This window comes from Homo sapiens, chromosome 19 (assembly GCF_000001405.40).
Source record: "Homo sapiens chromosome 19, GRCh38.p14 Primary Assembly".
NCBI classification, from domain to species: domain Eukaryota; kingdom Metazoa; phylum Chordata; class Mammalia; order Primates; family Hominidae; genus Homo; species Homo sapiens.
In genome coordinates this window covers 20,139,183-20,153,005 of record NC_000019.10, presented here as the reverse complement: position 1 = coordinate 20,153,005, position 13,823 = coordinate 20,139,183, and the positions used below count along the sequence as shown (strand labels likewise).

At 47.1% G+C, this 13,823-nt stretch overlaps 1 long non-coding RNA gene across 1 annotated transcript in view, besides 2 other annotated features; it reads left to right on the top strand.

Annotated features, from left to right (window-relative positions):
• The window catches only part of LOC105372310 (uncharacterized), a 148,126-nt gene that overhangs the window by 118,823 nt on the left and 15,480 nt on the right, over window positions 1–13,823 (top strand). The window lies entirely within an intron of this gene.
• Window positions 423–972: an enhancer, noted in NCBI's record as "NANOG-H3K27ac-H3K4me1 hESC enhancer chr19:20262843-20263392 (GRCh37/hg19 assembly coordinates)". NCBI's record gives its function as "activates a minimal SCP1, AML or CMV promoter by ChIP-STARR-seq in naive H9 embryonic stem cells {active_cell/tissue: H9 hESC(naive)}" and the evidence as "EXISTENCE:reporter gene assay evidence [ECO:0000049][PMID:30033119]".
• Window positions 973–1,522: an enhancer, noted in NCBI's record as "NANOG-H3K27ac-H3K4me1 hESC enhancer chr19:20262293-20262842 (GRCh37/hg19 assembly coordinates)". NCBI's record gives its function as "activates a minimal SCP1, AML or CMV promoter by ChIP-STARR-seq in naive H9 embryonic stem cells {active_cell/tissue: H9 hESC(naive)}" and the evidence as "EXISTENCE:reporter gene assay evidence [ECO:0000049][PMID:30033119]".

The window sequence follows — 13,823 nt, the reverse complement described above, 5'->3', positions numbered from 1 at the left end:
ATTGATAATACACTATTACCAAAGTAAAAGCTGATTTTCTCTTGAAAAAAATTTTATGTATTATTAATATGACAGCAAAATACTTCTGTTCACCTTTTGAATATATTCAAAAAGAGAGAGAGTAAAAAAAAAGATAGAATTTTCCCATGATCTGGGTTGGGCCTGGCTCAGCTCAGGGAGGAAGCCCTGCCTGAAAAACGCTGCAGCTTAGGCTGTGACTTTTTCTTCACTCAGTCCTGATCACATTTTCTGTTACTCAGGGCCTGAGGGGGCGGGGGCCTTAAGCATTATCCAATCAGAAACGCTGGGCTGACGCCCCGTCCGGGAGGGAGGTGGGGGGGTCAGCCCCCCGCCCAGCCAGCCGCCCCGTCCGGGAGGTGGGGGGTGCCTCTGCCCGGCCGCCCCTACTGGGAAGTGAGGAGCCCCTCTGCCCGGCCACCACCCCGTCTGGGAGGTGTACCCAACAGCTCATTGAGAACGGGCCATGATGACAATGGCAGTTTTGTGGAATAGAAAAGGGGGAAAGGTGGGGAAAAGATTGAGAAATCGGATGGTTGCTGTGTCTGTGTAGAAAGAGGTAGACATGGGAGACTTCATTTTGTTCTGTACTAAGAAAAATTCTTCTGCCTTGGGATCCTGTTGACCTATGACCTTACCCCCAACCCTGTGCTCTCTGAAACATGTGCTGTGTCCACTCAGGGTTAAATGGATTAAGGGCGGTGCAAGATGTGCTTTGTTAAACAGATGCTTGAAGGCAGCATGCTCGTTAAGAGTCATCACCACTCCCTAATCTCAAGTACCCAGGGACACAAACACTGCGGAAGGCCGCAGGGTCCTCTGCCTAGGAAAACCAGAGACCTTTGTTCACTTGTTTATCTGCTGACCTTCCCTCCACTATTGTCCTATGACCCTGCCAAATCCCCCTTTGCGAGAAACACCCAAGAATGATCAATAAAAAAAAAAAAGAAAAAAGAAACGCTGGCCTGAAAACTGCCCAATCAGGCACGCAGCTGGAGTGAACAGGACGTCTTCAGTGTTTGGCTGCAGCCTTTGTCTCTGGCTGCAGCCTGAGCTCTGGGTCTCCTCTTCACTAGTCTGTGTCCTCTGCTCCTAGAGGCGCAACCTCTATAGCCCTGTGACCTGCAGGTATTGGGAGATCCACAGCTAAGACACCAGGACCTCCTGGAAGCCTAGAAACAGTGAGAGTGCCGGTCCGACATCCTGAGTGAGCGGGAGGGGATGGTTGGAACCGGTGACAAGTGGCAGTGGCAGGACTCAGGCCTCTCCTCAGTCAGCTCCACAATCTGTGCCACAAGTTCTCCTTGCCCAGCTCGGCCTCAGTCCCCTTCAGCCCTAAGATGGCAGCTGCGCTGACAGGCGGTCCAGGGGTGTCCTGTCTCTTCCCTGCGCGGTGACTGTGCCCTGGCCTGAAACCTTCTCAGGGCAGCCCTGCACCCACAGTGCCACGTCTCTCCTAGATTGTGCGGGGACTCCAGGAGGATCTTTGGGGGGGAACCCTGACTCGGGGTGTGGGTTCATGAATGGGAAGAGCTTTGGTCTGTGGGGTTCACAGTTTCTGTTTTCTCTTATTAAAAATTTATGGGGACGGGTGGCCAGGTGTGGTGGCTCATGCCTGTAATCCTAGCACTTTGGGAGGCCGAGGCGGGTGGATCACAAAGTCAAGAGATCGAGACCATCCTGGCCAACATGGTGAAACCCTGTCTCTACTAAAACACAAAAATTAGCCAAACATAGCGGCGGGGGCCTGTAGTCCCAGCTACCTAGGAGGCTGAGGCAGGAGAATTCGCTTGAACCTGGGAGGCGGAAGTTGCAGTAAGACAAGATCGTGCTACTGCATTCCAGCCTGGCAACAGAGCGAGACTCTGTCTCAAAAAAAAAAGAAAGAAGGAAAAGAAAAAATTTATGGGGCCTGGCGCGGTGGCTCACGTCTGTAATCCCAGCACTTTGGGAGGCCGAGGCGGGTGGATCACTTGAGGTCAGGAGTTCAAGATAAGCCTGGCCAAAATGGGGAAACCCCATCTCTACTAAAAATACATAAATTGGCTGGGTGTGATGGTGAATGTCTGTAGTCCCAGCTACTCCAAAGGCAGAGGTGAGAATCGCTTGAACCCGGAAGGAGTAGGTTTCAGTGAGCTGAGGTCATGCCACTTCCCTCCAGCCTGGGCGACAGAGAAAGACTCTGTCTAGAAAAAGTAAATTATGGGAGTCGGCGCCGGCGAGCGCCGCCCGGGAGGCAGCGGCTGGAGGAGCGGACGGGCCCCGCGGGGCCCGAGGGCAAGGAGCAGCTGCCTGCCTTGGCCTCCCAAAGTGCCGAGATTGCAGCCTCTGCCCGGCTGCCACCCCGTCTGGGAAGTGAGGAGTGTCTCTGCCTGGCCGCCCATCGTCTGGGATGTGAGGAGCCCCTCTGCCTGGCTGCCCAGTCTGGAAAGTGAGGAGCGTCTACGCCCGGCCGCCATCCCATCTAGGAAGTGAGGAGCGCCTCTTCCCAGCCGCCATCACATCTAGGAAGTGAGGAGCGTCTCTGCCCGGCCGCCCATCGTCTGAGATGTGGGGAGCGCCTCTGCCCCGCCGCCCCATCTGGGATGTGAGGAGCGCCTCTGCCCGGCCGAGACCCCGTCTGGGAGGTGAGGAGCGTCTCTGCCCGGCCGCCCCGTCTGAGAAGTGAGGAGACCCTCTGCCTGGCAACCACCCCGTCTGAGAAGTGAGGAGCCCCTCCGCCCGGCAGCTGCCCCGTCTGAGAAGTGAGGAGCCTCTCCGCCCGGCAGCCACCCCATCTGGGAAGTGAGGAGCGTCTCCGCCCGGCAGCCACCCCGTCCGGGAAGGAGGTGGGGGGGGGGGGGTCAGCCCCCCGCCCGGCCAGCCGCCCCATCCGGGAGGGAGGTGGGGGGTCAGCCCCCACGCCCGGCCAGCCGTGCCATCCGGGAGGGAGGTGGGGGGGTCAGCCCCCCGCCTGGCCAGCCGTGCCATCCGGGAGGGAGGTGGGGGGGTCAGCCCCCCCACCCGGCCAGCCGCCCCGTCCGGTAGGGAGGTAGGGGGGTCAGCCCCCCGCCTGGCCAGCCGCCCCGTCCGGGAGGGAGGTGGGGGGGTCAGCCCTCCGCCCGGCCAGCCGTCCCGTCTGGGAGGTGAGGGGCGCCTCTGCCCAGCCGCCCCTACTGGGAAGTGAGGAGCCCCTCTGCCCGGCCAGCCGCCCCGTCCGGGAGGGAGGTGGGGGGGTCAGCCCCCCGCCCGGCCAGCCGCCCTGTCCGGGAGGGAGGTGGGGGGATCAGCCCTCCGCCCGGCCAGCCGCCCCGTCTGGGAGGTGAGGGGCGCCTCTGCCCGGCCGCCCCTACTGGGAAGTGAGGAGCCCCTCTGCCCGGCCAGCCGCCCCGTCCGGGAGGGAGGTGGGGGGGTCGGCCCCCCGCCCGGCCAGCCGCCCCGTCCGGGAGGTGAGGGGCGCCTCTGCCCGGCCAGCCGCCCGTCCGGGAGGGAGGTGGGGGGGTCAGCCCCCCGCCCGGCCAGCCGCCCCGTCCGGGAGGGAGGTTGGGGGGTCAGCCCCCCGCCCGGCCAGCCGCCCCGTCCGGGAGGGAGGTGGGGGGGGTCAGCCCCCCTGCCCGGCCAGCCGCCCCGTCCGGGAGGTGAGGGGCGCCTCTGCCCGGCCGCCCCTACTGGGAAGTGAGGAGCCCCTCTGCCCGGCCACCACCCCGTCTGGGAGGTGTACCCAACAGCTCATTGAGAACGGGCCAGGATGACAATGGCGGCTTTGTGGAATAGAAAGGCGGGAAAGGTGGGGAAAAGATTGAGAAATCGGATGGTTGCCGTGTCTGTGTAGAAAGAAGTAGACATGGGAGACTTTTAATTTTGTTCTGCACTAAGAAAAATTCCTCTGCCTTGGGATCCTGTTGATCTGTGACCTTACCCCCAACCCTGTGCTCTCTGAAACATGTGCTGTGTCCACTCAGGGTTAAATGGATTAAGGGCGGTGCAAGATGTGCTTTGTTAAACAGATGCTTGAAGGCAGCATGCTCGTTAAGAGTCATCACCACTCCCTAATCTCAAGTACCCAGGGACACAAACACTGCGGAAGGCCGCAGGGTCCTCTGCCTAGGAAAACCAGAGACCTTTGTTCACTTGTTTATCTGCTGACCTTCCCTCCACTATTGTCCCATGACCCTGCCAAATCCCCCTCTGTGAGAAACACCCAAGAATTATCAATAAAAAAATAAATTTAAAAAAAAAAAAAAAAAAAAAGAATGGAGTTTCCCAGGCCAGCTGTGGTGGCTCACGACTGTAATCCCAGCACTGTGGCAGGCCAAGGCGGGCAGATCACCTGAGATCAGGAGTTCAAGACCAGCCTGACCAACACGGAGAAACCCCGTCTCTACTAAAAATAAAAAAAATTAGCTGGGCGTGGTGGTGCATGCCTGTAATCCCAGCTACTTGGGAGGCTGAGGCAGGAGAATTGCTTGAACCCAGGAGGCAGAGGTTGTTGTGAGCTGAGATTGCACCATTGCACTCCAGCCTGGGCAACAAGAGGGAAACTCCATCCAAAAAAAAAAAAAAAAGGACTTTCTCAAAGAAAATGTATTTAAATGTCTGCACCAATAATTCCAGCATGTGTATGAATAAATATGATATGTCCTTTACAAAAAAAAAAAAAATTATGGGAGTCACTGCAAAAAATCAAGTAATTTAATCAAAGAGTGATTCAAGAATTGTAGAGCACCCAGTTATAGTTTGTAGTCTGTGGTCCATGGGAGGGGCTTGAAGGAAAGACATTTGTAAAATCAGTGATGAAGAAAACCAAATTCAACAATTGGTTAGGTGTACTTACGTAGCTTCTTAATTTGTATAATCAAGGTGGAAATTTCCTGGTTATGTAATCAGAGCTTATTTGGCAGTTTATAGTTGTTTAAGCCTGAAATTTGTTTCCCCAAATGTAGTAATTTATTAACAAATCAACTTGAGTTTACATTTTTTTACAAGTAGGAATCTGAGGACTAGAGCCTTCTCAGTCTAATTGCCTGCCGCTTAATTATTTTCACAACCCACAAGGGGCTGATTTTCTCTGGCATTTTTCACATGTGTCCCCAGCAGGGCCTCCTGTACCCCACGTTCCTCAATCATTGTTTAAAGCATTGCATAGCACTATTGAAAAGATTTGTTTTCTATTTTTAAATATTTCCCATGAGAAGAAAGCAAAGAATAATCCCCTGACACTGTATTGTAAAAAATATCTGTACCTTTTTTTCTTTTATTTTTCCAGAGAACTTACCAGAATGTTTTTAGGTTAACATTACCCTCTGGAAACATTATAGGGTGATGTGACCTCTGCTAACCTTCAGTTTTATTCTGGGCCTGGGTTTTAGTACTTTCTGGAGATAAACCAAGATACCCACTATGGCTATGTCTGCTAAAATGTCTAATGGATATTAGCTCTTGGGTCACTTTCTCCCTTAGGACCACCTGAAGTATAGAGTGTAGCCTCTCAAGGGAGCAGGTGGCAGCCTTGGGGCTGAAAGGCATCTCCTGATATACTTTTTTTTTTTTTTTTGAAAAGCTAGCCCCTTGAGACATGAAGATTGTCTTGACCCAACCTAACTTCCATTTCTTGGAGACACATTGTTGGTGAGCCAATCAGATGCTGGTATTGAGGGGAAAACAAATAATTTCTGCCCCCTGGATGCTCTTGGGGGGAGTGAAAGAAAAATAGTAAAAAGTTTGTGAAAAAAACCTTCAAAAGACAAAAGAAAATGACCCCAGTGAGATGGGGTAAAAACTTACATAGTAAAATGCAGCTGGGGCAGTCACGCTGTGTCTGCGCTGTGTCTCCTGGGAGGGTGGTTATTGAGCATGTGAACAGGATGGGGTGAGTGATTGGATATCTACCTTGAAAGATTTGTTCACTTATTTTGACCTCAGGTGTTTTTGTTGTTGTTGTTGATTCTGCCTTTTTTTTTTTTTTTTTAAGACAGTCTGACTCTGTTGCACAGGTTGGAATGCAGTGACTTGATCTTGGCACACTGCAACCTCTACCTTCTGGGTTCAAGTGATTCTCATGCCTCAGCCTCCGGAGTAGCTAGGACTACACGTGTGCACCACTGTATTTGGCTAGTTTTTGTATTTTTAGTAGAGATGGACCAGGCTGGTCCCAAACTTTTAGTCATTTTTTTTTTTTTTTTGAGATGGATTTTTGCTCTTGTTGCCCAGGCTGGAGTGCGATGACGTGATCTTGGCTCACCACAACCTCTGCCTCCCAGGTTCAGCCTCCCAGATTCTCCTGCCTCAGCCTTGGGCATGTGCCACCATGCCCAGCTAATTTTTATATTTTCAGTAGATATGGGGTTTCTCCATGTTGGTCAGGCTGGCCTCGAACTCCCAACCTCAGGTGATCCGCCCACCTAGGCCTCCCAAAGTGCTAGGATTACAGGCATGAGCCACCGTGCCCCACTCAAACTTTTAATCTTAATTGATCTGCCTGCCTTGGCCTCCCAAAGTGCTGGCATTAAAGTGAGCCACAGCACCCACCTGAATCAGTTTTTTATCTGTAATTTGCATTTTATTAGTAGGGCTTGAAAGGTAAGAAAATATTTACAAAGAAAATAAAAGATGAGTTTCAAAAAATTAATATTTAATCATATATTCCATTTGTTAATAACTCATTTACATTTTTCTTTCCAAGAGTGAGTTTAGGAATTTTCTTGGGTGTGGTTTTTATGTCTTAGTGATTTCAGACAGAATTCTAAGCCTTAGCTTTATAATGCTAGCTACCAAGGGAAAAAATAGGGAAAATCTCTCTTCCATTTTGGCTCTAGACAATGAATATATTTTCATAGGAAAATGTGGTGAATGAGTTACACAGATTCATCAAAACATCAGTTCCTCTTTTTGCAGGGTAAATTTGTGACAGTGAATATCTCCATTCTATATCCTGTTGTCTTGATTTCTGAGTTTAGTGCTAAATTGCATGTGATGAAACGTGGTAACTTTTAGAAGCATTCCCATATGACTAATTTTTTACTACATTATTTTTTAATATAAATAATAAAATAATACATATATTGTCTGAAAGAAGTAGATATATTTGTTTTTCTTATGGAGGCATAAAATGCAAGCACCTTAGCCAGGTGCAGTAGCTCACGCCTGTAATTCCAGCACATTGGGAGGCCAATGCGGGTTGATTCCTTGAGGTCAGGAGTTTGAGACCCGCCTGCCCAACATGGTGAAACCCTGTCTCTACTAAAAATACAAAAATTAGCTGGGTGTGGTGGAGCATGCCTGTAGTCCCACCTACTTGGGAGGGTGAGGCAGAAGAATAGCTTTTACCCAGGAGGTGGAGGTTGCAGTGAGCTGAGATCCAGCCATTGCATTCCAGTGTGGGTGACAGAGCGAGATTCCATCTCAAAAAAAAAAAAAAAAAAGTAAGCACCTTAAAATTTCCTTTTCTTATGTAAACGCTGTGAGTAATTTCACTGGATTTTTCAAACACTTAGTTTTGAAAACCAAGTGAATAACTCTGACATGGAAATTAAAGCTTGAACCTAGTAACTCCAAGCTAGGGCTAATATTAAGCATGCAAGAGGAAGTTATTAAAGGCCCAGTTAGTTCTTTCTGAGGAGCCACCCATGCAGCTGTCTCAGCCTGCTCACCCCAGCCATAGAAGAAGCCTTTATCCTGAGAGAAGCTACAGAGCCCTGGAAAGCTGGGATCCCACAGGCAGATGCAGTTAAGGTTAAGATGAAAGGAAACTGGGGAGGTCTTACTGATGATGAAGTTTTTATTGTTTTGAGGCAATTTCTAAACTTTGTAAAATAAAAACATTAGATTTATGTTTAAAAAAAAAAATGAATTCCAGGCTCGGCGCGGTGGCTCACGCCTGTAATCCCCGCACTTTGGGAGGCCGAGGCGGGCGGATCACGAGGTCAGGAGATCGAGACCATCCTGGCTAACAGGGTGAAACCCCGTCTTCACTAAAAATACAAAAAAAAAAAAAAGTTAGCTGGGTGTGGTGTTGGGCGCCTGTAGTCCCAGCTACTCCGGAGGCTGAGGCAGGAGAACGGCGTGAACCTGGGAGGCAGCGCTTGCAGAAAACCGAGATCGCGCCACTGCACTCCAGCCTCAGCGACAGAGAGAGACTCCATCTCAAAAAAAAAAAAGGAGAAAATGTGCAGTGTGTGTGTCAGCCTGTGTTTTAGGAAAGAAAAGAGAGCACCACTTAAGTCATAATGGGAAGGGTGTTTCCTTCCATAAACTGTTCCTGGAGCACACAAAGGATGGAGACATTTTAAATTATTTATTTATTTATTTATTTATTTTTTTGAGACAGAGTCTCGCTCTGTCGCCCAGGCTGGAGTGCAGTGGCACCATCTCGGCTCACTGCAAGCTCCGCCTCCTGGGTTCAAGCCATTCTCCTGCCTCAGCCTCTTGAGTAGCTGGGACTACAGGCGCTTGCCACCATGCCCCGCTAATTTTTTGTATTTTTAGTAGAGACAGGGTTTCACCGTGTTAGCCAGGATGGTCTCAATCTCCTGACCTTGTGATCCGCCCGCCTCGGCCCCCCAAAGTGCTGGGATTACAAGCGTGAGCCACCGCGCCCGACCTAGGATGATTTTATTAATCACAAATATTTTTTAGGATTATGTGTTTCATCTTTTTCCATCTCTTTTATTTGTTCTGTGCATTTTTTCCATTTGACTTTTCCTGGCCTTCATCTTATATATTAAACCGGTAAAGGTAACTACAGTTTCCTGCTGAGTTCTGTGAGTAGCTCTATGAAATTATTGAACTTCAGGGACGTTATGGGAGTCTCCCGTTTTTATTTTTATTTTTTTTTATTTTTATTTTTTTTTTTTTTGAGACGGAGTTTCGCTCTGTCGCCCAGGCTGGAGTGCAGTGGCGCGATCTCGACTCACTGCAAGCTCCGCCTCCCGGGTTCACGCCATTCTCCTGCCTCAGCCTCCCGTGTAGCTGGGACTACAGGCGCGCGCCACCATGCCCGGCTAATTTTTGTATTTTTAGTAGAGACGGGGTTTCACCGTGTTAGCCAGGATGGTCTCGATCTCCTGACCTCGTGATCCGCCCGTCTCGGCCTCCCAAAGTGCTGGGATTACAGGCGTGAGCCACCGCGCCCGGCCGTCTCCCGTTTTTAAACAGTAGCTCAGACACATACATGGGCCCATGGGGTTTATGACTGGCATCTGCATTGAGGACAATGTTGTGGGACCGAGCCCTGAATCAGGGTCTGTACTGACTGTGGGTGGTGTCAGAATTCAAATGTTAGACCGTAAGTTGGTGTTGGAGAATTGTTTGATGTTCAGCAAATGCTACAGATTTGGTGCCAGAAAAAAAGATATCATGGAGGCCTGGCCTGGAATAAAACTCTGGGTGTCTGGGAATGGGAGGCTCTGCTCTCCTGTACACAGGCTGTCACACTGCCCATTGTCCTGTGATTCCAGGTCTTCTCCGAGGGCAACTGTGGACTGAAAACTTAGCGGAGAGAAACTCCCATGACAGACGCCCTTTTCCCACAGGTGCCACCATAGTATTCCCACCCACTCACAAACACACACACTAGACATTGACATGTCCACACTCCTCCTAGGACTCGGCACCACCCTCAGGAACTTCACCACGGCATTTTTGAACCCAGTGTTTCTTGAAAAGGACCCACAGTATCTACAAGTCTCCTGGCATAACCCCACCCCCAGACACTGAATCTGCAGCAGCAACCTGTTTTCTCCACCATCCTAGGGTCTGGACCACTTGTTCATAATCTCATCTGCCTGTATTCACACAGAAGTAAATCAGAGTACAGCCCTACCTGGGCCATTATCTGTAGCAAAAATAAGTTCTTTCACCTACATTGCACTCTCTCCCACTCGGGGAGTTTTTTTTCTTTTAGCTTTTATTTTTGGTTCGATGTACACATGTGGGTTTGTTATACAGCTGAAATTATGTCATGGGGATTTGGTATGCAGATTATTTTGTCACTGAGGTACTACCCATAGCACCAAACAGGTATGTTTTCTGATCCTCTTACTCCTCTCACCCTCCACCCTCTACTAGGCCTCAGTGCCTGTTTTTCTCCTCTTTGTGTTCATGTGTTCTTATTATTTAGCTCTTACTTATAAATAATGACATGCATTTGATTTTCTGTTCCTGTATTATTTTCTTTTTTTGTTTTGTTTCTTTGTTTTTGAGATATTTTTGCTTGTTTGTTTTTGCTCTTGTTGCCCAAGCTGGAATGCAATGGTGTGTTCTCAGCTCACCTCTGCCTCCCAGGTTCAAGCCATTCTCCTGCCTCAGCCTCCTGAGTAGCTGGGATTACAGGCACGCGTCTCCATGCTCTGCTAATTTTGTATTTTTAGTATAGATGGGATTTCTCCATGTTGGTTAGGCTGGTCTCAAACTCCTGACTTCAGGTGATCCACTCACCTTGGTTTCCCAAAGTGTTGGGATTACAGACATGAGCCACTACACCCAGCCTCTGCATTTGTTTTGTAAGAATAATGGTCTCCAGCTTCATCAATGTTACTGCAAAGGACATGGTTATTTGTTTTTAATGGCCACAGAGTAGTCCAGGATGCTTATGTACCATATTTTGTTTTTACTAAATCTTTTGTTTTTGGAGTCAGGGTCTCACTTATTGCCCAGGCTAGAGTGCTGTGGTGTGATATTGGCTTACCTTATCCTCAACTTCCCAGGCTCAAACAATTCTCTCCTACCTCATCCTCCCAAGTAGCTGGGACTACATGCGGGTGTTACCAAGCCTGGCCATTTTTTTTTTTTTTTTTTTGTATCTTCTGTGGAGACAAAATTTTGCCATGTTGCCCAGAGTGGTCTCAAACTTCTAAGCTCAGGCAATCCACCTGCCTCAGCCTCCCAAACGGCTGGAATTACAGGCATGAGCCACCGCATCTGACCATACCATATTTTCTTGATCCAGTCTGCCATTGATAGGCATTTAGTCTGTCCGTGTCTTTGCTATTGTGAATAGTGCTGCAGTGAACATGCATGTGGATGTGTCTTTATAATATTTCATATTTCTTTGGGTATATACTCAATTATGAGGTTTCCCAGTCGAATGATAATTCTGTTTTTCATTCTGTGAGGAATTGTCACACTGATTTTTACAGTTGTTGAAATAATTTACACTCCCACCAGAGGAGTATAAGCATTCCCTTTTCTCTGCAACTTTGTCAGCATCTGTTATCTTTTGACTTTTTAAAAATAGCCATTCTGACTGGTATGAGGTGGTATCTCATTGTGGTTTCTCTGCGTGTGTGTGTGTGTGTGTGTGTGTGTGTGTGTGTCTGTGTGTGTGTGTTTGAGACGGAGTCTTGCTCTGTTGCCCAGGCAGGAGTGCAGTGGTGTGATCTCAGCTCACTGCAACCTCTGCCTACCAGATTCAAGCAATTCTCCTGCCTCAGCCTCCTGAGTAGCTGGGACTACAGGTGCACACTGCCACACCTGGCTGATTTTTGTATTTTTAGTAGAGACAGGGTTTCACCATGTTAGCCAGGATGATCTTGATCTCCTGACCTTGTAATCTGCCTGCCTTGGCCTCCCAAAGTGCTGGGATTACAGGCGTGAGCCACCGCACCCAGCCTGTGGTTTCTCTTCTAATTTCTCTAATGATTAGCAATGAGCATTTTTTTTTCATATGCTTGTTAGCCCTATGTGTATCTTCTATTGAAAGGCATCTGTTCATGTTTTTTGCATACTTTTTAATGAGTGTGTTTTTTTCTTGTAAACTTGTTTAAGTTCCTAATAAATTCTGTATATTAGACCTTTTTCAGAGGCAAAATTTACAAATATATTCTTTTATTCTCTAGTTTGTCTGTTTACTCTGTTGATAGTTTCCTTTGCTGTGAAGAAGCTCTTAAGTTTAAATACATCCCATTTGTCAATTTGCTTCTGTTGCAGTTGCTTTTGGTAGCTTCATCATGAAGTCTTTACCTGTTTCTGTGTCTAGAATGCTATTTCCTAGGTTATCTTGCAGGGTTTCTTATAATTTTAAGTTTTACATTTAAGTCCTTAATTTATCTTCAGTTGATTTTTTTATATGGTGTAATGAAGGGGTCCACTTCAGTCTTCTACATAGTGGTAGATAGTTATTCCAGCACCATTTATGAAAGAGAGAATTCTTCCCACATTCCTCTTGTCAGCTTTGTCAGAAATCTGATGGTTGCAGGTGAAAGGCATTATTTCTGGGCTCTCTATTCTGTTTCATAGGTGTTGTGCACTCATGGATTTTTTTATAACGTCTTTTTCTCTTCTGCTTTTTCCCCATTAACATTCTTTCAAGTGCATATAGTGTGCAAAATTCAGATGTCCAAGAGTTCAAAACTCTTTAAAAAGTTCCAAAAATTTTTTTGCTATTCTCTCTTTTCTTAAGGGATTTAGATTATATGTAGATATTTTTCTCTGCTTTTTTGAAATATATGTAAATCATATTAAGAGCTAAATAAGGGCAGGGCGCGGTTTTGCATGCCTGTAATCCCAGCACTTTGGGAGGCCGAGGCAGGCAGATCACGAGGTCAGGAGATCAAGACCATCCTGGCTAACACGGTGAAACCCCGTCTCTACTAAAAATACAAAAAAATTAGCTGGGCGTGGTGGCAGTTGCCTGTAATCCCAGCTACTTGGGAGGCTGAGGTAGGAGAATGGCATGAAGCTGGGAGGCAGAGCTTTTGCAGTGAGCCGAGTTCGTGCCACTGCACTCCAGCCTCGGTGACAGAGCGAGACTCCATCTCAAAAAAAAAAAAAAGCTAAATAAATCTCACTCCAGACTATCTAGTACTTCAGATTTATTGCTTTGTTTTTGGTTCTGAAAAGTTTAGTTTTTTCATGTTTAGTCTTTTAAAGTAGACACAGGTTTGTTTAGATAAAACCTCATTTTAAGAGCACATAGAAGCTTAACACACAGATAAATTTAGCAATACAAAATGATAAAGACTAAAAGATACTAAATTCCTTTGATAGAAATCTGATGATCCAAGGTAATTATCCAGTATTTGCAGGCAGAAATACTTACACTGCAAAAGCAAGAACAGTTCAGTGCATAAACTGAACAGTGGAGTCTGTAGTTGTGCCTTGCTTTCTATTTATTACTTCAGAACAATTAGCATAGTTATGTGTAGTGTTTGCAGAAAACCTGCATTCATAAAAATTAAACAGTTTTTTTTTTTTTGAGACAGTCTCACTCTCTTGCCCAGGCTGGGGTTCAGTGGCATGATCACGGCTCACTGCAACCATTTCCTCCCTTGTTCAAGCAATTCTCCTGCCTCAGCCTCCCAAGTAGCTGGGATTACAAGTGTGCACAACCACCCTGGGTAAGTTTTGTATTTTTAGTAAAGATGGGATCAGGAACTCCTGACCTCAGGTGATCTACCCACCTCAGCCTCCCAATGTGCTGGGATTACAGGCATCAGCCATAAGCAGTATTTTCTACAATAGTATGAACATAAAGCCCCAATACTTACTTTGAATGAATCACCTAAATTGTTATTTTAATATTGTTATTTATGCTTTTGAAATATAAAGTGTTTTAACTGAAGTATAGTTACAATTTTTAAAAATGCTACATACATTATGACTAGTTCATTAAAAGTATTCATACTTAAATATTTATATCTAATATAATATCCAAACAAAATTTATTGTTATGATAGATATCAGTCTGACATGCTTATTACTTTATTCAATAGGAATAATTAAAAGTAAACACAATTTTGGTATCTTTTATTTCTTTAAATTGGAATGCTGCTATTACCGGACAAATAAAGACAGGTGATGTGGCCACCCAAACACCATAATAGCTATTC